Source organism: Homo sapiens, chromosome 14, assembly GCF_000001405.40.
Source record: "Homo sapiens chromosome 14, GRCh38.p14 Primary Assembly".
Taxonomy (NCBI): Eukaryota; Metazoa; Chordata; class Mammalia; order Primates; family Hominidae; genus Homo; species Homo sapiens.
In genome coordinates this window covers 102,342,481-102,362,910 of record NC_000014.9, presented here as the reverse complement: position 1 = coordinate 102,362,910, position 20,430 = coordinate 102,342,481, and the positions used below count along the sequence as shown (strand labels likewise).

The window sequence follows — 20,430 nt, the reverse complement described above, 5'->3', positions numbered from 1 at the left end:
GCGTTTCCGGTGGGGTGGGCGGGGCTTCGCGTCTCCTTCTACGGATATCTGTGGACCTTATGGAAGGTGCGTGAGATCGGTTCCTTTCCCGGGGTGGGGTGGCTGTGAATGTTACTGCTTAGGCCGCAGGTTGGACCAGAAGCTCAGGAGCTCCCCGGATTACATGAGGTTAAATGGAGGTCCTCTGTCTTACCCCAGCCTAGCCCGCAGGCCCCTCGCAGCCTCTGCGAGCTGCTCGGGAGACAGTTTTGCCGAGCCTCCGTTTTTTCACATGTGCAGTGACAGATGAACGGGACGATATACGCAAATGAGTGTCAGCAGATCCGACATCCAAATTGTAATTATTGTCACTATAAATTAGTACTAACAGAGTTCACTGGGTACCAAGCCTTGCATGCTCATCTCGTCCAGAAACTCCTCTCTGAACTGCCCTCAGTCAGAACATTCTGCTTGTAATGAAAGCTGGCTTTCGCCTAGTGCTCAGTTTGCTGAGTACTGCTCCAAGCACTTTAAGTGGATCATCTCATTTGAACCTCACAGTGGTCCCATGAAGTAATGTCAACCCCATTTTGCAGATGGGGAATCGAGGCTCAGAGGGGATAAGTAACTTAGCCACTGTGCCCTCACCCTACCCTGTCCTGTGACGCTGATGACTGGTCTGTCTTTACCAGCCCTTGAGTTTCTTGAAGTCAGTTATGTTTTTGGTTCCTAAATATGTGCCCCGTATGAGTCAGGCTGACCATGAATCAGATGTGATCCTGCCCTCAGAATCTCCTGTTGGGGGGAAAACCCTTAGACAATTATAGAACAGGTGGTAAGAGCTATTCCTCCATTTACCTCATTTTATGCAAAGCCTCCTATGTGTGGAAGGTTTGAAAGAGAACGAGACATAGTTCCTACCCTAGTCGAATTTCCAGTTTAGCAGGGAATATAGACATTAAACAAGCAAATACACTCCACTGGTGAATATCATGATAGCAGAATTATAGGGTGTACCACATATCTAGTGGTGAGTCGTAACCCAACCTGGGGGATCCAGGAATACTTCTCTGTGGAAATGACTTTCTAAAAACCTAAATCAGATAATTTCACTGCCCTATCCAGAGCTCATTGCTCACTCCCCATTGTATTAGGTTGGTGCAAAAGTAATGGCAATTTTGGCTGTTAAAAGTAATGGCAAAATCTGTTACTTTTGCACCAAGCTAATACTTAGAAGTCCAAACTTCATTTTTTTATTTTGTTTTGTTTTGTTTTGTTTTGTTTTGTTTTTGAGACGGAGTCTCGCTCTGTCACCCAGGCTGGAGTGCAGTGGCGCGATCTGGGCTCACTGCAAGTTCCGCCTCCCGGGTTCACGCCATTCTCCTGCCTCAGCCTCCTGAGTAGCTGGGACTACAGGCGCCCGCCACCACGCCCGGCTGATTTTTTGTATTTTTTTAGTAGAGATGAGGTTTCACTGTGTTAGCCAGGATGGTCTCGATCTCCTGACCTCGTGATCCGCCCGCCTTGGCCTCCTGAAGTGCTGGGATTACAGGCGTGAGCCACTGCCCTCGGTCCAACTTCTTATCTTGGCCTATTAGGTTCTAGTTGTCTGATCACCTACTCACGCACTAGTCCTTTTCTGTCTATTTCATTCCAGCACACTGGTTTTTTTGTTTGCTTGTTTGTTTTGTTTTGTTTTCTGTTTTTTGAACTCACCAACCTCATTATCATAATTAGGGCACATACTACTGACCTACCCTATTTCTGGCTTTTCATCATTCAAATCTCAGCCTAAACGACACCTTCTCAGGGGATCACACTAACACAAGACCCTGTTTTATTTTCCACACACACTTAATCATGATCTGAACTGATCGTGGTCATTTGTTTATTATCTGCCTCCCCTTTGGAAAGTAAGTTCCATGAAAACGGTCCTGGTCCGTCTCATTCAATCACTTCATTCCCCCATGCCTGGCGTATTGTAGGCAGTAAGCAAATATTTGTTGTTTAAGTAAAGAATGAATGATAAATCAAGATGATATTTTAAAGTGAGGATACTAAGTATGAGGCAGGGGAGTGGGGACACACACAGATAGGAAAAATATTCCAGGTCAAAGTCAGAACTTGTACAGAGCCAGCTCTGATGCACAGAGGGCAAGTGGGAAAGGGTAGAAGCTGAAGTGGTGGGCAGAGCTTGGATAGTAGAGGCCCTTGAGCTAACAGGTGAGATACTGGGTTTTTGCCTTGTGCGAGGCCTCACAGCTTCACATATATTATCTAATCTCAGCAATCCTATGAAATAGATACTATTTTTATTCCCATTTTACAGATGAAAATGTTGAGGCTCTGAAAGGTACATTAAGTTGCCCAAGATCTCACAGCTGGCGAGCTGGGGTTCAGACGCAGGCAGTGTGGTCTTCTGACTTGAGGCATCAAACCATCCAGCTGTTGTGTGTCCTGGATTCCTCAAGAGGACTTTATCCTGTGGGCAGTGAGAAGCCTTTGTGGGGTTCAAAGTAGAGAAGGCAAGAGGGCACAGGAGGGTTCGGGGAGAACAAACAACCTGAGTTGGCTCTTGGTGGTCTGGGGGTTGCTTCCTACAGGCAGTGGGATCCGGGTGCATCTTGGAGGATGGGCATCGTGAGCCTGAGGAAGGAAGGAGCTTTCCTGCAGAGAGAACACGTGTAAAGGCCTGCAGGCACCTCAGCTTTTCAAGAGCTGCCAGTAGTTCATTTTCGCTGGATATTGACGGGGGGCCAAGGTGTGGGTTGATGTACGTGATGATGTGGAGGGGTAGCTAGGTCTGGAAGGATTTTGGACTTCCTCCTGATTACCAAGAAGGGCAGTGGCAGCATCGTGATCAACTCTGCATCTCTGTTGTCTCAGTGTCTTGAAATGATTAGCACTCATGGGCCACGCTACTCTGAGCAAATTTAAAGTATCAGAGTGCCTGAGACTAGATAGTGGAAGTACTCGGGAGTCAGGGCTAGATTATCCTGTAGGGAAGGGAACGTGAGCCATTGAAGAGTTTTAGCAGACAGTCACAACTTTACCTTATTTCCAATCTTTGGAAAACAAAGGGCTTAAGGTAAAAACTTTGTGGAGCCATTAAGCTGGAAGAGGATTCAGCTCTATCTGGTGAATTTTAAAATGTTAAAAATATTCTATATTGTCTTCTTCCAGGAACTTTCACATTCATTCAGACTTTGTAGTTTCCACATTTATTTGTCCAGTTGATACAGCATTTCAGATAGTTTTACTGTTGAAAATTATAAGGACATTTGCCCTCCAACTATGATTGTATATTCCATGATAATAATTTTGTTTCTTTTATACCCTATCAGCAAAGACTCTTGGAACTGTAACGCCCAGAAAACCTGTCTTATCTGTCAGTGCAAGAAAAATTAAGGACAATGCGGCTGATTGGCACAATTTAATCCTGAAGTGGGAAACCCTCAATGATGCAGGTTTTACCACTGCAAATAATATTGCCAACTTGAAAATCAGTTTATTGTAAGTACATATTGGTTTTTCATGCTCTAAGTTTTTCACCCTTAATAACTGGGGAAATAATGTGAATAAATTTTAAAATAAAATATTAAGCAAAAAAAGCAAGTGGTAAGATGATACGTGTAAGTATAAATTGTATTGTACATTTTAAATACAAAATTATATTCCATATATATATATATATATATATATATTTAGTTATTTATTTATTTATTTTTTTGGAGATGAAGTCTCACTCTGTTGCCTAGGCTGGAGTGTGATGGCGCGATCTCAGCTCACTGCAACCTCTACCGCCTGGGTTCAAGCAATTCTCCTACCTCAGCCTCCGGAGTAGCTGGGATTACAGGCGCCCGTCACCACACCCAGATAATTTTTGTATTTTTAGTAGAGACGGGCTTTCACCATGTTAGGCTGGTCTCGAACTCCTGACCTTACGTGATCCACCTGCCTCAGCCTCCCAAAGTGCTGTGTGAGCCACCGTGCCTGGCTATTCTGATTTTTAAAACCACAGATTCTTTGATTCTTTTGTAGTTCATAGGCATAATGATTGGGTTTTCATGCTCATGTATGACCTGTGCCTTCCTCAAACTTTGCTATGATGTTGGCACATTACCTAGCTGATATGGAAAAAACTACCATGAATTCTTTTCATCCATTTTTGGATTTTACGTAAACAAAAAACATATGTTATTGTTTCCTTTATATCTCACTTTCTTTTTCTATTTTTTATTTTTTATTTTTGGAGACGAGTCTCACTCTATCCCCCAGGCTGGAGTGCAATGGCGTGATCTTGGCTCACTCTAACTTCTGCCTGTCAGGTTCAAGTGGTTCTCCTGTCTCAGCCTCCTGAGTAGCTAGAATTACAGATACCTGCCACCATGCCCGGCTAATTTTTGTATGTTTAGTAGAGACAGAGTTTCACCATGTTGGCCAGGCTAGTCTCAAACTCCTGACCTCAAGTGATCTGCCCACCTTGGCCTCCCTAAATGCCGGTATTACAGGCATGAGCCACTGCGCCCAGCCATGTCTCACTGTCTTTCAACATGGAAGCCATGCGTGTAATGTAGAGCCACTATTCTGGTTCTGTTCTTTCTCATTGCTGTTTAATAGTGTTTACCCACATTAGACCTCTCACACTGGTTTATCAACTAAGTTATATAATATTCTCAATCTTTTGTTGTCATTTCAACAGTGTGCACAGTGTCTTTCCCAGGAATAGATTCCATCTCAAGAAACCACCTTCTTTGCTCATCCATAAGAAACAATTCCTTATCTGTTCAAGTTTTCTCATGAGATTGCAGCAATTCAGTTCCATCTTCAGACCCCACTTCCAGTTCTGGTTCTCTTGCTTTTTCCACTGGCAGAGTAGATTTAACATCATTCTTAAGGGCCCTAGGAATTTGAGAATGGTAAATGAGCATTGGATTCAACTTAAAGTCACTAACTGCAATATCCCCTAATAAGAGGGTGAGCCTGTCTCTTGAAGCTTTGAAGCCTGTCATTGACTTCTCTGTAGTTGTGAATGTCTTGGATGGCATGTTCTTCTAATAGAAGGCTGTTTCATCTACACTGAAAATCTGTTGTATCATGTAGCCACCTTCATCACTGATCTTAAGTAGATCTTCTGGATAACTTGCTCCAGCTTCTACATTAGCGCTTGCAGCTTCACCTTGCACTTTTATGTTATGGAGATGGCTTTTGTCCTTAAACCTCATGAACCAAATCCTGCTATCTCAAACTTTTCTTCTGTAACTTCCTCATATCTCTCAGCCTTCACAGAATTGAAGAGAGTTAGGGTCCTGCTGTGGATTAGGCTTTGACTTAAGGGAATGCTGTGTCTGGTTTGATCTTCTATCCAGACCACTCAAACTTTCTCCATATCCACACTAAGGCTGTTTCACTCATCATTCACATGTTCACTGGAGTAGCACCTTTAATTTTCTTCAGTAACTTTTCCTTTGCCTTCACAACTTGGCCAACTGTTTGGCACAAGAGGCCTGGTTTTCAGCTTATCTTAGCTTTTTTTTTTTTTTTTTTGTAGAGATGGAGTCTCGCTCTGTCGCTCAGGCTGGAGTGCAATGGTGCAATCTTGGCTCACTGCAACCTCTGCCTCCCGGGTTCAAGCAATTCTCCTGCCTTTGCCTCCCAAGTAGCTGGGACTACAGGTGCACACCGCCACGCCCAGCTAATTTCTTTTGTATTTTAGTAGAGACGGAGTTTCACATGTTGCCCAGGCTGGTCTTGAATTCCTGAGCTCAGGCAATCTGCCCGCCTTGGCCTCCCAAAGTGCTAGGATTACAGGCGTGAGCCACCGCACCTGGCCCCTTATCTGAGCTTTTGACATGCCTTCCTCACTAAGCTTAATCATTTCTAGCTTTTAATTTTTTTGTTTCTTAAATTGGCCAAAGTATAGCTTTTGATTTAAAATGAGAGATATGCAACTCTTCCTTTCACTTGTACACTTAGAGGCCAATGTAGGGCTATTAATTGGGTTGATTTCAGTATCCTCCTATTTCAGGGAACAGGGAGGCCCAAGGAGATGGGGAGAAAGGGGAGCAGCCGGTCAGTGGAGCAGTCAGAACACACAACATCCATTCATTAAGCTTGCCGTTATATATGCACATGGTTCATGGCACCTCAAAACAATTAAACTAGCAATATCAAAGATTACCAATCACAGATCATAGACATAATAATGAAAAAGTTTGAAATATTGTAAGAATTACCAAAATATGATAGAGAGACATGAAGTAAGCACATGCTGTTGGCAAAATGGTGCTGATTGACTTGCTCTACATACAGAGGGTTGCCACAAACCTTCAATTTGTAAAAAATGCATTATCTATGAAACTGAATAAGGTGAAGCACAATAAAATGAGGCGTGCCTATATTCCTGGATTGTGAACTCTTTGAGGAAATGATCCATGTCTTATTCATCTTTGTACATCCAGCACCATGCCCTATGCCAAGGATGCCACACCGCTGAATGGTGTTTTTTTTTTTTTTGAGACAGTCTTGCTCTTTTGTGCAGGCTGAGTGCAGTGGTGCTATAATGGCTCACTGCAGCCTTGACTTCCTGGGCTTAAGTGATCCTCCCACCTGAGCCTCCTAAGTAGCTGGGACCACATACGTGTCCCACCATGCCCAGCTAATTTTTACTTTTAATTTTTGTGGAGATGAGGTCTCACTGTGTTGCCCAGGCTGGACTCAGACTCCTGGACTCAAGCAGTCCTCCCGCGTCCATCCCTCAAAGTGTTGGGATTACAGGCATGAGCCACCAAAACCGGCTGTCACATGGCTGAATTTAACTGACTTATTTTGGTGCAAAATTGAGTGACCAATGGACATATTCATTGCACATATAAATAATAACTGCATTTGTATCATAATGATATGAAAGAACAATGCTTATGCAAAATGTCCCACGTAACTATGTGGATATAGAGGTTTGTAGAATTTATTATAAGGAAATAAGGCAAGCTTAAAGAGTATATTTTGTACACATTATTTTCTATTTTGTTTAGGAATAAAGACAAGATAGAACTAGACAGCAGCAGCCCAGCCTCGAAGGAAAATGAAGAAAAGGTGTGTCTGGAATATAACGAGGAACTGGAGAAGCTGTGTGAGGAACTGCAGGCCACCTTGGATGGGTTGGTAAGACATAAAGACGCAGGCCACTTGTGGTCACTGTCACTGAATCCGATGGACGTATTTGGGGTTTGCTTGACCATTGGCCATCACTTACTCCTTCTCAGTCTCCTCTGATGTTCTCTTCCTCTGCCTGCTGCGTAAACCTTAATGTTCCCCAAGATGCTGTCTTAGACACTCACTCCTCCTGTGCGTCATCCGGGGAAATGTCACCCACTTTCAGGGCTCATCACATAGTAAATTTTTTTTTTTTTTCCATGATATGGAGTCTTGCTTTGTCGCCCAGGCTGGAGTGCAATGGCGTGATCTTGGCTCACCGCAAACTCCGCCTCCTGGGCTCAAGCGATTCTCCTGTCTCAGCCTCCAGAGTAGCTGGGACTACAGGCGTCCGCCACCATGCCTGGCTAATTTTTGCATTTTTAGTTGAGACAGGGTTTCACCATATTGGTCAGGCTGATCTCAAACTCCTGACCTCAGGTGATCCACCTGCTGGCCTCCCAAAGGGCTGGGATTACAGGCATGAGCTACCACGCCCAGCCACAGAGTAAATATTTTAGGCTTCCAGGGCCAGCCAGTCTCTATCTCAGCTACTCATCTCTGCCACATAGGACTAAACAGCCATAGATAATATATGCGTAAATGGATGTGGCTGCATTCCATGAAAACTTTATCTTTGTTTTTTGGATTTTCTTTTTTTTTTTTTTTGAGATGGAGTCTCATTCTGATACCCAGGGTGGAGTACAGTAGCATGATCTTGGCTCACTGCAAACTCCGCCTCCCAGGTACAAGTGATTCTGCTGCCTTAGCCTCCCAGGTAGCTGGGATTACAGGCTCGTGCCACCACATGAGCTAATTTTTGTATTTTTAGTAGAGACAGCATTTCACCATGTTGACCAGGCTGGTCTCGAACTCCTGACCTCAAGTGATCAGCCTGCCTTGGCCTCCCAAACTGCTGGGATTACAGGCGTGAGTCACCGCACCTGGCCTTTTTTGTTTTTGTTTTTGTTTTTTTTGAGACAGGGCCTCACTCTGCCACTGAGGCTGGATGGAGTGCAGTGGCGAGATCTTGGCTCACTGCAACCTCCGCCTCCTGGGTTCAAGCAATTCTTGTGCCTCAACCTTCCACATAGCTGGGATCGCAGGTGTGCGCCACCATGCCCAGCTAATTGTTGTATTTTTAGTAGAGATGGGGTTTCACCATGTTGGCCAGGCTGGTCTCGAAGTCCTGGCCTCAAGTGATCCACCCACCTCAGCCTCCCAAAGTGTTGGGATTACAGGCGTGAGCCACCATGTTCGTCCAGGAAATCTTTATCTTTGGACACCGAAATTAGAATTTTGTATAATTTTTATGAGTCACAATCACTATTGTCCTTTTGGTTATTTTCAACCATTTAAAAATGTAAAAACCATCTTAGCTTATGGGCCATACAGAAATAGGCTATGGGCCAGAATTGACCTGTGTTCCAGGGATAGTTTGCCCATCCCTGATACAGCACGTAAGAGACTAAAGTGTTTGTTTAATGAACTAATAACTAAATTTCAATACCTACCATACTGGCCACCAGATGTGAAGATAACACCACCTTATTTCTTTGCTAGGCACAGGAAATCAGGTTTTACACATATTTGAACTTGGATAACTGAAGCTTACCCATAAACATTTAAGATCTTTATATTTTCACCTTTTTGTTTGTTTGGAGACAAGGTCTCGCTGTGGAATGCAGTAGTATGATCACAGCTCACTGCAGCCTTTACTTCCTGGGCTTAAGTGATCTTCTTGCCTCAGCCTCCCGAGTAGCTGGGACTACAAGCATGAACCATCATGCCCGGCTAATTTTTAAAATTCGTTTGTACAGACGGGGTTCTCATGTTGGCCAGGCTGGTCTCGAACTCCTGACATGAAGTGATCTTCCCACCTTGGCCTCCCAAAGTGCTGGGATCACAGGTGTGAGCCCTGGCGCCCTGCCTTAGCTTTTCCGTCATGTCTTGTTTTGGCTTCAGGATCCTGTATGACATCGAGTCCCCTTGTTTCCTCAGGCTCCTTTTGGCCGTGACAGTTTCTCAGACTTCCCTGTTTTTGATGACTTTGACAATGTTGAGGGATACTGGTCAGGTATTTTGTAGAACATCATGAGATTTATCTGATGTTTTTCTCCTAATTAGACTGAGGTTACGGGTTTTGTTCAGAGGAGGACCACAGAAGTAAAGTGCCATTTCTATCATGTCATATCAAGGGCACGTACTGGATATACTGTCATCAGGACTTTTCTTTGGGTCCCACCTATTGCCCGGGCTGGTCTCAAACTCCTGGGCTCAAGCAGTGCTCCCACCTCAGCCTCCCAAAGTGCTGGGATTCCAGGCGTGAGCCACTGTGCACAGCCAGGACTTTCCACTGCTGAAGTTGACCTTGATCACCTGGCTGGGCAGTGTTTCCAGGTTCCTCTGCTGTGACGTTGCTCTTTCTCCTCCTCCCACGCTGTGCTCTTTGGCAGGAAGTCACTATGCATAGCCCACACCTGGGGGTAGGGACGTATTCACCACCTGCTTGAGGGTGCAGTATCTACATAAATTATTTGGAATTATTCTGCGTGGGAGATTTGTTCCCTCCCTCCCATTTGTTAATTTTTTTTTTTTTTGAGATGGAGTTTCACTCTTGTTGCCCAGGCTGGAGTGCAGTGGGGTGATCTCTGCCCACTGCAACCTCTGCCTCCTGGGTTCAAGTGATTCTCCTGTCTCAGCTTCCCAAGTAGCTGGGATTACAGGTGCCTGCCACCACACCCAGCTAATTGTTGTATTTTTATTTGTTTTTTTTTAATTTTTGTTTTGGCCAGGCGCAGTGGCTCATGCCTGTAATCCCAGCACTCTAGGAGGCCGAGGCAGGTGGATCACCTGAGGTCAAGAGTTTGAGACCAGCATGGCCAACATAGTGAAACCCCATCTCTACTAAAAATACAAAAAATTAGCTGGGGGTGGTGGCAGGTGCCTGCAATCCCAGCTACTTGGGAGGCTGAGGCGGGAGAATCACTTTCGGAGGTTGCAGTTAGCCGAGATCAAGCCACTGCACTCCAGTCTGGGCCACAGAGTGAGACTCCGTGTCAAAAAAAAGAAAAAAAGAAAAAGAAAAGTGGTTTGGGAATAAGTTCTCATTCTATGTTCAAAACCAAAAGTTGATTTTATAGGGTATTATTATTTTTCCTATTTTCCTCTATCCGTTATAGAGAATGGTTTCCAGACCTGGTCTGTGTCTTTCATAACTTTGACCTTCTGGGGGTTTCATGCACCGTTCTTCCTAAGCTGGGCTAACATTTCACTGTGGTCTGTGTTTGCTGTGGGAAGAAGCCACCGATGTTGAAATGTAAGGGCCTGCTGTTTATGCACTGTTCATTCAGGGCTGCACGTGCCTATGTGACTTGAATTCTTTATTGATGGCTGAGCTGCAGGATTGAGCATGACTTCTTGCCTGGGGTCAAGGCTCCAGAATTTTCCTTAGTCTCCTGTTATCAGCTTTTCTTAGAATCAGGTGGCACCAGGGAGCTGCTGCAGGACTCACAGGAAAGAGCAGAGGATTGGGTGTTAAAACTTGGTGTCGGCTGGGCGCGGTGGCTCACGCCTGGAATCCCAACACTTTGGGAGGCTGAGGTGGGCGGATCACAAGGTCAGGAGATCGAGACCATCCTGGCTAACACAGTGAAACCCCAGCTCTGCTAAAAGTACCAAAAAAATTAGCCAGGCACAGTGGCGGGCGCCTGTAGTCCCAGCTACTTGGGAGGCTGAGGCAGGAGAATGGCATGAACCCGGGAGGCGGAGGTTGCAGTGAGCGGAGATCGCGCCACTGCACTCCAGCCTGGGTGACAAAGCGAGACTCTGTCTCAAAAAAAACAAAAACAAAAACAAAAACAAAAAAACTTGGTGTCAGAAGGCATGGTATCGAGTTCTGGCCTCATCCTTCCTCAGCTCAACCTTAAGCAATTTCCCAGCTGTGAAACGGAAATGACAAGTCCTGCCTCTTGGGGTTGGGCCAAATAAAATATCAAACCTTAAAAGATTTGGGAAACTACTTAAGTAAAGTCCTTTAAAAATTAACGTTAGCTGAATTTAGTGCTTGCCACTTCCAATGTAATTGGAGGGTGGTTGGAAGGACCAAGTAAAGGAATTAAGATATTTGACAATTTATATATCTTTTCTTATTTCCCCTTTTTCATATTTATGTATGTAAAGTCAACTATACTTAGGAGTTCAAAATTTGGTCTTTATAGACCTATGCTACTTAAATCTGAAATCCTAGTTACTTCACCCATTAATTTTCTTTATCCAACCCTTATATATCTCCAAGTAGGTGCTTCACAAATACTAACTCACTTAATCCTCTTCACCAAGCTGTGAAAGTAAGCCCGCCATTGCCCCTATTCTGTGCTGCCTGGTGTGTGCAGTGGGGTTGGTTTAGTGTCTCCCACAAGTAGCCATACACATCATGCAGTTACAGGGCTTAGGACAGAGCCTGGTCCACACTGAGGGACCGTCAATGGCAGCTTGCCACGTTTCCTTCCTTTCTGCGTGAAGTGTGTAGGGCTCCCTTTCTGTGTTGCCATTTTATAAACAAGGAAGTCAAGGAGGTTTCCGTAAATAAAGGCAGTTAATAAGAGAGAGTCAGGCCTGGTGCGGTGTCTCATGCCTAGAATCCCAGCACTTTGGGCGGCCGAGGTGGGCGGATCACGAGTTCAGGAGATCAAGACCAGCCTGGCCAACATGGTGAAACCCCGTCTCTACTAAAAATACACAAATTAGCTGGGCGTGGTGGCACATGCCTGCAATCCCAGCTACTTGGGAGGCTGAGGCAGGAGAATCGCTTGAACCAGGGAATCAGAGGTTGTAGTGAACCGAGATCTCGCCACTGCACTCCAGCCTGGCACTGCACTCCAGCTTGGCAACAGAGCAAGACTCCGTCTCAAAAAAAAAAAAAAAAAAGAGAGAGAGAGAGAACATCAGAAACGAGCTCATTTGATAGAGAGACAGAGAGCCTCAGAAACGAGCTCATTTGATAAAAGAGAGAGAGAGAGAGCATCAGAAACGAGCTCATTTGATGCCTTTCTCTCTCACTTCTTAAAAGCAGCAAGAGCCAGCCAGGCGCGGTGGCGCATGCCTGTATAATCCCAGCACTTTGGGAGGCTGAGGCGGGAGGATTGCTGGAGCCCAGGAGTTAGAGACCAGCCTGGGCAACATAACGAGACCCTGTCTCCACAAATTAAAAAAAATTAGCTGGGTGTGGTGGTGCACACCTGTGATCCCAGCTACTTGGGAGGCTGAGGTGCCAGCGGTTGAGGCTGCATAAGGCATGATCATGCCACACAGAATGAGACCCTGTCGCAAAAAAAAAAAGAAAAAAAAAAAAAGGCAGCAAGAGCCTGCCTTGGGATTCCTCCAGGTCTTTGGGTCTAAGACATTAATGCTGTTTGGAAATCCTAGTGAAATGGCACTCGGAAACCTTTCTTGCTCTAGGACTGGAAATCTGGGGTTTATTACCAAAGTCATTCAAATTAATGAAATCATAGCAACTGTCCACCTTCATCTCCCTGGGAATTTGCTGTACGTAGAGTTAACAGTGTTTAGTTATTGGAATTTTTATCATAATAGACTTACACTTCTTAGCTTTGAAATCTTAGAGTTATTAAATCTGAGACTGGAGATTTCAAATAATATTATCATATTCCAAATGGATATCTTTCAGACCAAAATACAGGTGAAAATGGAAAAGCTGTCTTCAACTACCAAGGGAATTTGTGAACTAGAAAACTACCATTATGGGGAGGAGAGTAAACGACCCCCTCTGTTCCACACGTGGCCTACAACCCATTTCTGTAAGTAGTTCCTTCTCAGTTGATTTTCAGGAGGGTAAAGGTTATTAAGGGCATTTAGTATCGTTTACATCTGGTACTTTAAGAAGCTGACAAGGCTTTCAAATTCAATGCAAAAGTATCGGGAGGAAAGGAGACAGAGGCATCTTAAACATTTCTTCTTGGCTTTAATTACCTGGTTATCAGCAGAGTATATGAAACATAGAGACCCGTGAAGCAAGCTGCTGTTATTAGGCCTCTAAAACCAATGGGCAGAGTGAATTCCACCTCCTCTGTGGAAGCAGATATCTCTCATTTTGAGGGGGGGAAAGGAAGAAAGGAGTTTTTTTGGTTTGTTGAGGTTTTTCTTTTGTTTTTTGTTTTAATTAAAAAACAAATTGAGGGTCACTGCAGCCAACCTCATGGAAGATGACTGGGAAAAATGAAACCCATGGCTTCAGTAAACTCTATGAGGCGCTTCTTAAAGGGTTACTTTTAGCTTTTATTAGTTCAAGACAAGGGTAAGCTATTTGATGTTGACCTGAGACTTTTTAAATAAGGCAGGAAAGGGTAAAATCACCTAGTGGAATGTGTTTAGTGAAATATTGTCAGTTTGAGGGGAATCTCCTACTGATAATCACTGTAGGTCACCTAAGAGTCAAGTAGAAAAGGTTATATATACTTTTTTTGAGACAGAGTCTCGCTCTGTCACGCCTGCTGGAGTGTAGTGGTGCAATCTTGGCTCACTACAGCCTCCGCCTCCCAGGCACAAGCGATTCTCGTGCCTCAGCCTCCCAAGTAGCTGAGATTACAGGTGCGTGCCACCACACCTGGCTAGTTTTTGTATTTTTTAGTAGAGACAGGTTTTCGCCACGATGGCTAGGCTGTTCTCAAACTCCTGAACTCAGGTGATCCACCCACTTGGGCCTCCCAAAGTGCTGGGATTACAGGTGTGGGCCACCACGCCCGGCTTGTATACACTTTTTATTTCACTCTGCTGACCATGTTATCAAATTGTACTAATCTGCACCAGCTAGAGTAGTAAACTCCATCGGGCCCTTCTTCCCCTCAGTGCTGTTGCTGATTCTGGTTTTTAATCAAGAGCTGTTAAAATGTAGTTCTTCCCAAGTCGACACTATGTTCTTGAATCACTGCCATTAAGGGAGATTCACGTTTCTTTCAGATGAGGTTTCGCATAAGCTCTTGGAGATGTACAGGAAGGAGCTGCTCCTGAAGCGCACGGTGGCCAAGGAGCTTGCCCACACCGGGGATCCCGACCTCACCCTGAGCTACCTGTCCATGTGGCTGCACCAGCCCTATGTGGAGAGCGACAGCAGGCTGCATCTGGAGAGCATGCTGCTGGAGACAGGCCACCGAGCTCTCTGACGTCCTGAGACGGCTGCGGACACTGGCTCCTTCCACGTCTCACCAGGCAGACAGTCTGCCTAGGACCCAGTGCCGCAGGCCTGGATCAGACCCCAGGATCAGACCTTGGGGTCTTCTGGCCAGAGCTTGTCACCAGCCCCATGGCCTCTCCAGGCGTGCTCATGCCCACAACCCGCGGCCAGCCCCACGTGGTGCTGCTCAGCCTTCTCTGCCCCTCCTGGGAATCTGTCATTCGTGGGTGCTTCAGAGTAAAATCAATGAGTTTCTGAGCAGAATGAGTGAGTGATCTAGTTTCTATAAATTAGGCATGCTTTATACATTATGTTTGTGTAGAAAATCCCTGGTTTAATATTTTTACTTTATGCCTATCTGATTGTTGAAGTTTTTATGAGACTATATTAGTTTTTGGGCCAGGTGCGGTGGCTCATGCCTGTAATCCCAGCACTTTGGGAGGCCGAGGTGGGCGGATCACTTTAGGTTCGGAATTCAAGTCCAGCCTGACCAACATGATGAAACCCTGTCTCTACTAAAAATACAAAAATCAGCTGGCGTGGTGGCGCGTGCCTGCAATCTCAGCTACTTGAGAGGCTGAGGCAGGAGAATGGCTTGAACCGGGAGGCAGAGGCTGCTGTGAGCCATTGCACTCCAGCCTGGGCGACAGAGTGAGACTTCGTCTTAAATAATAAGATCCCATGGAGTTAAAATGAAGTTTGACATCATGAAAATGAAAATAACCTACAAAAAAATTGCCGCTGTTTGCATACTGGGGACATGGCAAGCGATGTAAACTGCCTTCCCTGGCATTCTTCTGACACAAATCCTCGAGTTTCACAATGTTTGCAGCCATTTCCAGAGTTAACATACTAGGTTAGAATGAGGGAAAGGTGACAGTTTTGAAACAGACCGAAGAGACTGGCCAAAAGCTAGGGCATGGGGAGAATGTGAAGGTATGCAAAAGCCTACTTTTTTTTTTTTTTTTAATGGAGTCTCGCTCTGTCACCAGGCTGGTGTGCAGTGGCACGATGTAAGCTCACTGCAACCTCCGCCTCCTGGGTTCAGGCGATTCTCATGCCTCAGCCTCCAGAGTAGTTGGGACTACAGGCACGCGCCGCCACACCCAGCTAATGTTTGTATTTTTAGTAGAGACGGGGTTTCACCACATTGGCCAAGATGGTCTCCATCTCCTGACCTCGTGATCCACCCACCGCGCCCTCCCAAAATGCTAGGATTACAGGCGTGAGCCACCGCGCCGAGCCTGCAAAAGCCTAAACTCTTTTTTGTGGCATTACTTGTTACATGGTTTCTACATCTGCGTTTGCCTTTTTGTAAGTTCTCTGATCCCAAACTGTTTATATTCTGTGGGACTGTGTATAGAGTGATACTTAATAAACAGCAGTTTTAGTTTTTTGGTTTTTATGAGATAGGCTCTTACCATGTGGCCCAAGTAGTGTCAAACTCCTGAGGTCAAGTGATCCTCCCTACTTAGTCTCCTCAGAGACTACAGTCATGCACTGCCCAGCCCAGCAATAATGTTGTTGGTGTTTTTAGATACAGGGTCTTGCTCTGTTGTCCAGGCTAGAATGCAGTGGCATGATTGTAGCTCACTGTAATCTCAACCTCAAACTCCTGTGCTCAGGTGATCCTCCTGCCTCAGCCTCCAGAGTAGCTGGGACTGTAGGTGTGCATAACCACGTCCGGCTAATTTTTTTATTTTTACTTTTTAGAGATGGGGGTCTTACTATGTTGCCCTGGCTTGCCTTGAACTCCTGGCCTCAAGTGATCCTCCTGCCTCGGCTTCCCAAAGTGCTGGGATTATAGGTGCGAGCCACTGCACCTGGCCAAGTATAGTTTTTAATTGTGTCATTTTAGTATTTAACTATAAATACTATTTATCTAAGTTTATTAAGACTATTGTAACTTTATTTATTTTTTGAGACAGAGTCTCGCTCTTGTTGCCCAGGCTGGAGTGCAGTGGTGCAATCTCGGCTCATCACAACCTCCGCCTCCCGGGTTCAAGCGATTCTCCCCGCTCAGCCTCCCAAGTAGCTGGGATTACAGGCACCTGCCACCATGCCTGGCTGATTTTTACAGGCATGCGCCACCACACTCAGCTAATACCGTATTTTCAGTGAGATGGGGTTTCACCATGTTGGTCAGGCTGGTCTTGAACTACTGACCTCAGGTGACCCACCCGCCTTGGCCTCCCCAAGTGCTGGGATTACAGGTGTGAGCCACCGTGCCTGGCCAAAAGCATTTAAAGGCAACATTTCTTAGGATTTCTCTTTCCTCTGCCTTTGCTATATTTATTAAGATCTGACTATCGGCTGGATGCAGTGGCTCATGCCTGTAATCCCAGCACTTTGGGAGGCTGAGGTGGGTGGATCACCTGAGGTCAGGAGTTTGAGACCAGCCTGGCCAACATGGTGAAATCTCATCTCTACTAAAAATACAAAAATTAGGCTGGGCGCACTAGCTCAATGCCTGTAATCCCAGCACTTTGGGAAGCCAAGGTGGGTGGATGACCTGAGGTCAGGAGTTCAAGACCATCCTGGCCAACATGGTGAAACTCCATCTCTACTAAAAATACAAAAATTAGCCGGGCATGGTGCTGCATGCCTGTAATCCTAACTACTCAGGAGCCTGAGGCAGGAGAATCCCTTGAACCCGGAAGGCAGAGGCTGCAGTGAGCCGGGATCGTGCCACTGCACTTCAGCCTGGTGACAGCGAGACTCTACCTCAAAAAATAATAATAATGATAATAATATGACCTGGCTAGGCATGAGTCATTACGGGCTCACACCTGTAATTCCAGCACTTTGGTGGCTGAGGCAAGCAGATTGCTTGAGCCTACCAGGAGGTTGAGACCAGCCTGGGCAACATCTACAAAAAATACAAAAAACTAACCAGGTGTCATGGTGCATGCCTGTGGTCCCAACTACTCAGGAGGCTGAGGTAGGATCACCTGAGCCTGGGACATTGAGGCTGCAGTGAGCCACGACTGCACCACTGCACTGCAGCCTGGGTGACAGAGCAAAGCCCTGTGGAAAAAAAAAAAAAGTGCCTCAGAGGGCATTAAAGATCCACTCTGCCCTGGCTCCTTTCTTTCCTGCTGGTTCAGCTCTCCCCACTCCTGTGACCATTTGGGAGGTGCCAGGGCTGCAGTGCCGTGGGTGCCTGACCAGGGGTACCCAACCAGGGTTGCAGCCACAGGAATCCTCATGGTTTCCAGGGAACACAAGGGAATTTTCTTTCTTTGCCTTTAGTAATAATAACTGAACATGGACCAGGTGCCAGGGATCATGACAAATGCTGAAACCACGTGTCCTCATTGAAGCCCCAGCCAGCCACCCCTGGGAGTCATTTGGGTGTCCTTGTCCCCCGGTCTGTACTCTAATGTCTCTTCACACTTGCTCTTAATCTGAGTATTTGAAATTAAAAGTACTATGTATACAAAACAAAGTTCTTCATGAGAAAAGGAAATTTCCATTTATCATTCTTTCATAAATAAGGTTATGTCTGTCTTTTTTTCTTTCTTTTTCTCTACAGGTGTGCACTACCATGCTGGGCTAATTTTTTTTTTTTAATTTTTAGTAGAGATGGGGTCTCACGGAGTTGTCCAGGCTGGTCTTGAACACCTGGGCTCAAGCGATCCTCCCGCCTCAGCCTCCTAGGTTACGTCTATTAGAAGGGGGTTGTAATGTGGAAGCTGTGCATACATCTGTCTCTATGCTGTATTGGGGAACTCTGCAAAGGCCAAGCTGGAAGAGAGGATAAGGCACAGGGCTCCCAAAGAGTAGGGCCCATGAGTCCCCCTCACTGCCGTCAGTCCTGTGCCTGGCACACAGCAGCACTCGACAGGCACGTGGCCGATTCATGAGGACACTGCTCTCAGAGCCTCCTGTGTCTTCAATTCTGTCTGGTGGAACAAAGGTTTATTTGTTGTAGGTTTTTTTTACATCAGTTACATTGACCATCCATTCATAGTAGCACATACACAGTGGTGAAACTAAGATGTGTTGGGATATTCACTAGTGTCCTATAGATAGAAAATAAATGTATATTTACCAGGGCCTCATCCAGACCATGGTCATACTCGAGTCAGCATGTTGTGTCAGTTACCTGACAGTGGTTATGAATGATCCTCAGGGCTCTTGTCTCCATCTCCAGGATCCCAGGAGGGCACTCATGGTGGTTTATGGGACTCTGGACTCCTGAGAAGCGGCCTTGAGTCTACAGGATACATCTACAGCCTGACCTGACCACCCAACACTCCCAGGCAGCCGCGGCTTGCTCCCCTGCTGGCCATTTCCAGCCTGCTAGAAAACCCACCTTTTTGTTCCTACCGACCGTGGCTTTGAGATCAAGTGAGGGTAGGAAATGCCCCTGGTCACTAAAAGGGCTGTAGGAAAGGCTGGCTCTCTGAGAATACAGCTGCCCTCCAGGGCAGGACCTGGAAGGAGCACAGCGCCAGGGCGACACATGGTCACAAGCCCAGCTCTGTCCCTGAGCAGCGTGCTCTCTGCTTGGGGTCTCTCCTGACCGTCTCTGCAAGGCGTGGGGAGAGACCTGCTGCTCCCTTTGAATGCTTTCTTCCACATGTGGACAAATGGCCCTTCCCTTCCTTCCCCGTAACACAGCCCACGGAAATATTGAAGACATGCCACTAAGTGACTTTCCAAGTGGGACATCAAAGAACTGGGCTTCTACCCTGAGCAGCATCTTGCTGTGGACCTCAAGTAAGTCACCCCATCATTTATGCCTCACCTTCCTCATCTGTAAAATGTGAGGAGAGCCAGGCACCGTGGCGCACGCCTGTAGTCCCAGCTACTCAGGAGGCCGAGGCAGGAGGATCGCTTAAGCCTGGGAGTTAAAGGCTGCAATGAGCTATGATTGCACCACTGCACTCCAGCCTGGGCAACAGAGTGAAAACTCATCTCTAAAAAAAAAAATCAGGCCGGGGCCGGGCACAGTGGCTCACGCCTGTAATCCCAGCACTTTGGGAGGCCGAGGCAGGCAGATCACGAGGTCAAGAGATCGAGACCATCCTGGCCAACATGGTGAAACCTCATCTCTACTAAAAATACAAAAATTAGCCGGGTGTGGTGGCGGACACCTGTAGTCCCAGCTACTCGGCAGGCTGAGGCAGGAGAATCACTTGAACCCAGGAAGCGGAGGGTGCAGTGAGCCGAGATTGCACCATTGCACTTCAGCCTGGCGACAGCAAGACTCCATCTCAAAAAAAAACAATCAGGCCCAGTGCAGTGGCTCACACCTATAATCCCAGCACTTTGGGATGCTGAGGCGCGTAGATCACCTGAGGTCAGGAGTTCAAGATCAGCCTGACCACCATGGAGATACCCCGTCTCTACTAAAAATACAAAATGATCCAGGTGTGATGGCACATGCCTGTAATCCCAGCTACTTGGGAGGCTGAGGCAGGAGAATTGCTTGAACCCTGTGGTGGAGGTTGCGGTGAGCCAAGATCGAGCCATTGCACTCCAGCTTGGGCAACAAGACCAAAACTCCATCTCAAAAAAAAAAAAAAAAATCATTGGCCAGGTGCAGTGGCTCATGCCTGTACTGTAATCCCAGCACTTTGGGAAGCTGAGGTGGGCGGATTGCCTGAGCTCAAGAGTTTGAGACCACCCTGGGCAACATGGTGAAACCCCGTATCTACTAAAATACAAAAAAAAAAAATTAGCTGGGCATGGTGGCATGCTCCTGTAGTCACAGCTACTCAGGAGGCTGAGGCACGAGAATCGCTTGAGCCCAGGCGGCAGAGGTTGCAGTGAGCCAAGATCGCGCCACTGCACTCCAGCTTGGGCTACAGAGTAAGACTTGGTCTCAAAAATAATTAAATTAATTTAATTTAATTTAATTTAAAAAATCATGCAAGTAGAAATGACTTTTTCCCCCTTCTATCAATAAAATGCTGCCCAGAATGACTAGCTTATTTTCTTTTTAATTGAACCCAAAAGAAGCTTCTAGTATGGAGCAAGTCTGGTGGAAAAGCAGCATATCTCCCAGGAGAGAAGGGAAACGGAGCAGGGCCAATCATCAGGTGACAGTGCAGTGC

General features: G+C 46.1%; 1 protein-coding gene and 1 non-coding gene across 3 annotated transcripts; both read left to right on the top strand.

Moving 5' to 3' along the window:
* CINP (cyclin dependent kinase 2 interacting protein) lies at nt 21-14,629 on the top strand. Of its 2 annotated transcripts, NM_032630.3 has the most exons (5): nt 21-66; nt 3,324-3,492; nt 7,014-7,143; nt 12,863-12,992; nt 14,152-14,629. In NM_032630.3, exons 1-5 carry the CDS (start codon nt 60-62, stop codon nt 14,352-14,354), a joined length of 639 nt encoding a protein of 212 aa, NP_116019.1. In that variant the 5' UTR covers nt 21-59; the 3' UTR covers nt 14,355-14,629. The 2 variants fall into 2 exon arrangements, with proteins under 2 accessions (NP_116019.1, NP_001306975.1); NM_001320046.2 differs by lacking the exon at nt 12,863-12,992.
* On the top strand, nt 4,009-4,112 carry LOC124903427 (small nucleolar RNA U13). The gene has a single exon (XR_007064410.1). It is a non-coding gene; the product is annotated as a small nucleolar RNA U13 (small nucleolar RNA).
* Nucleotides 14,630-20,430: the final 5,801 nt, after the last annotated feature.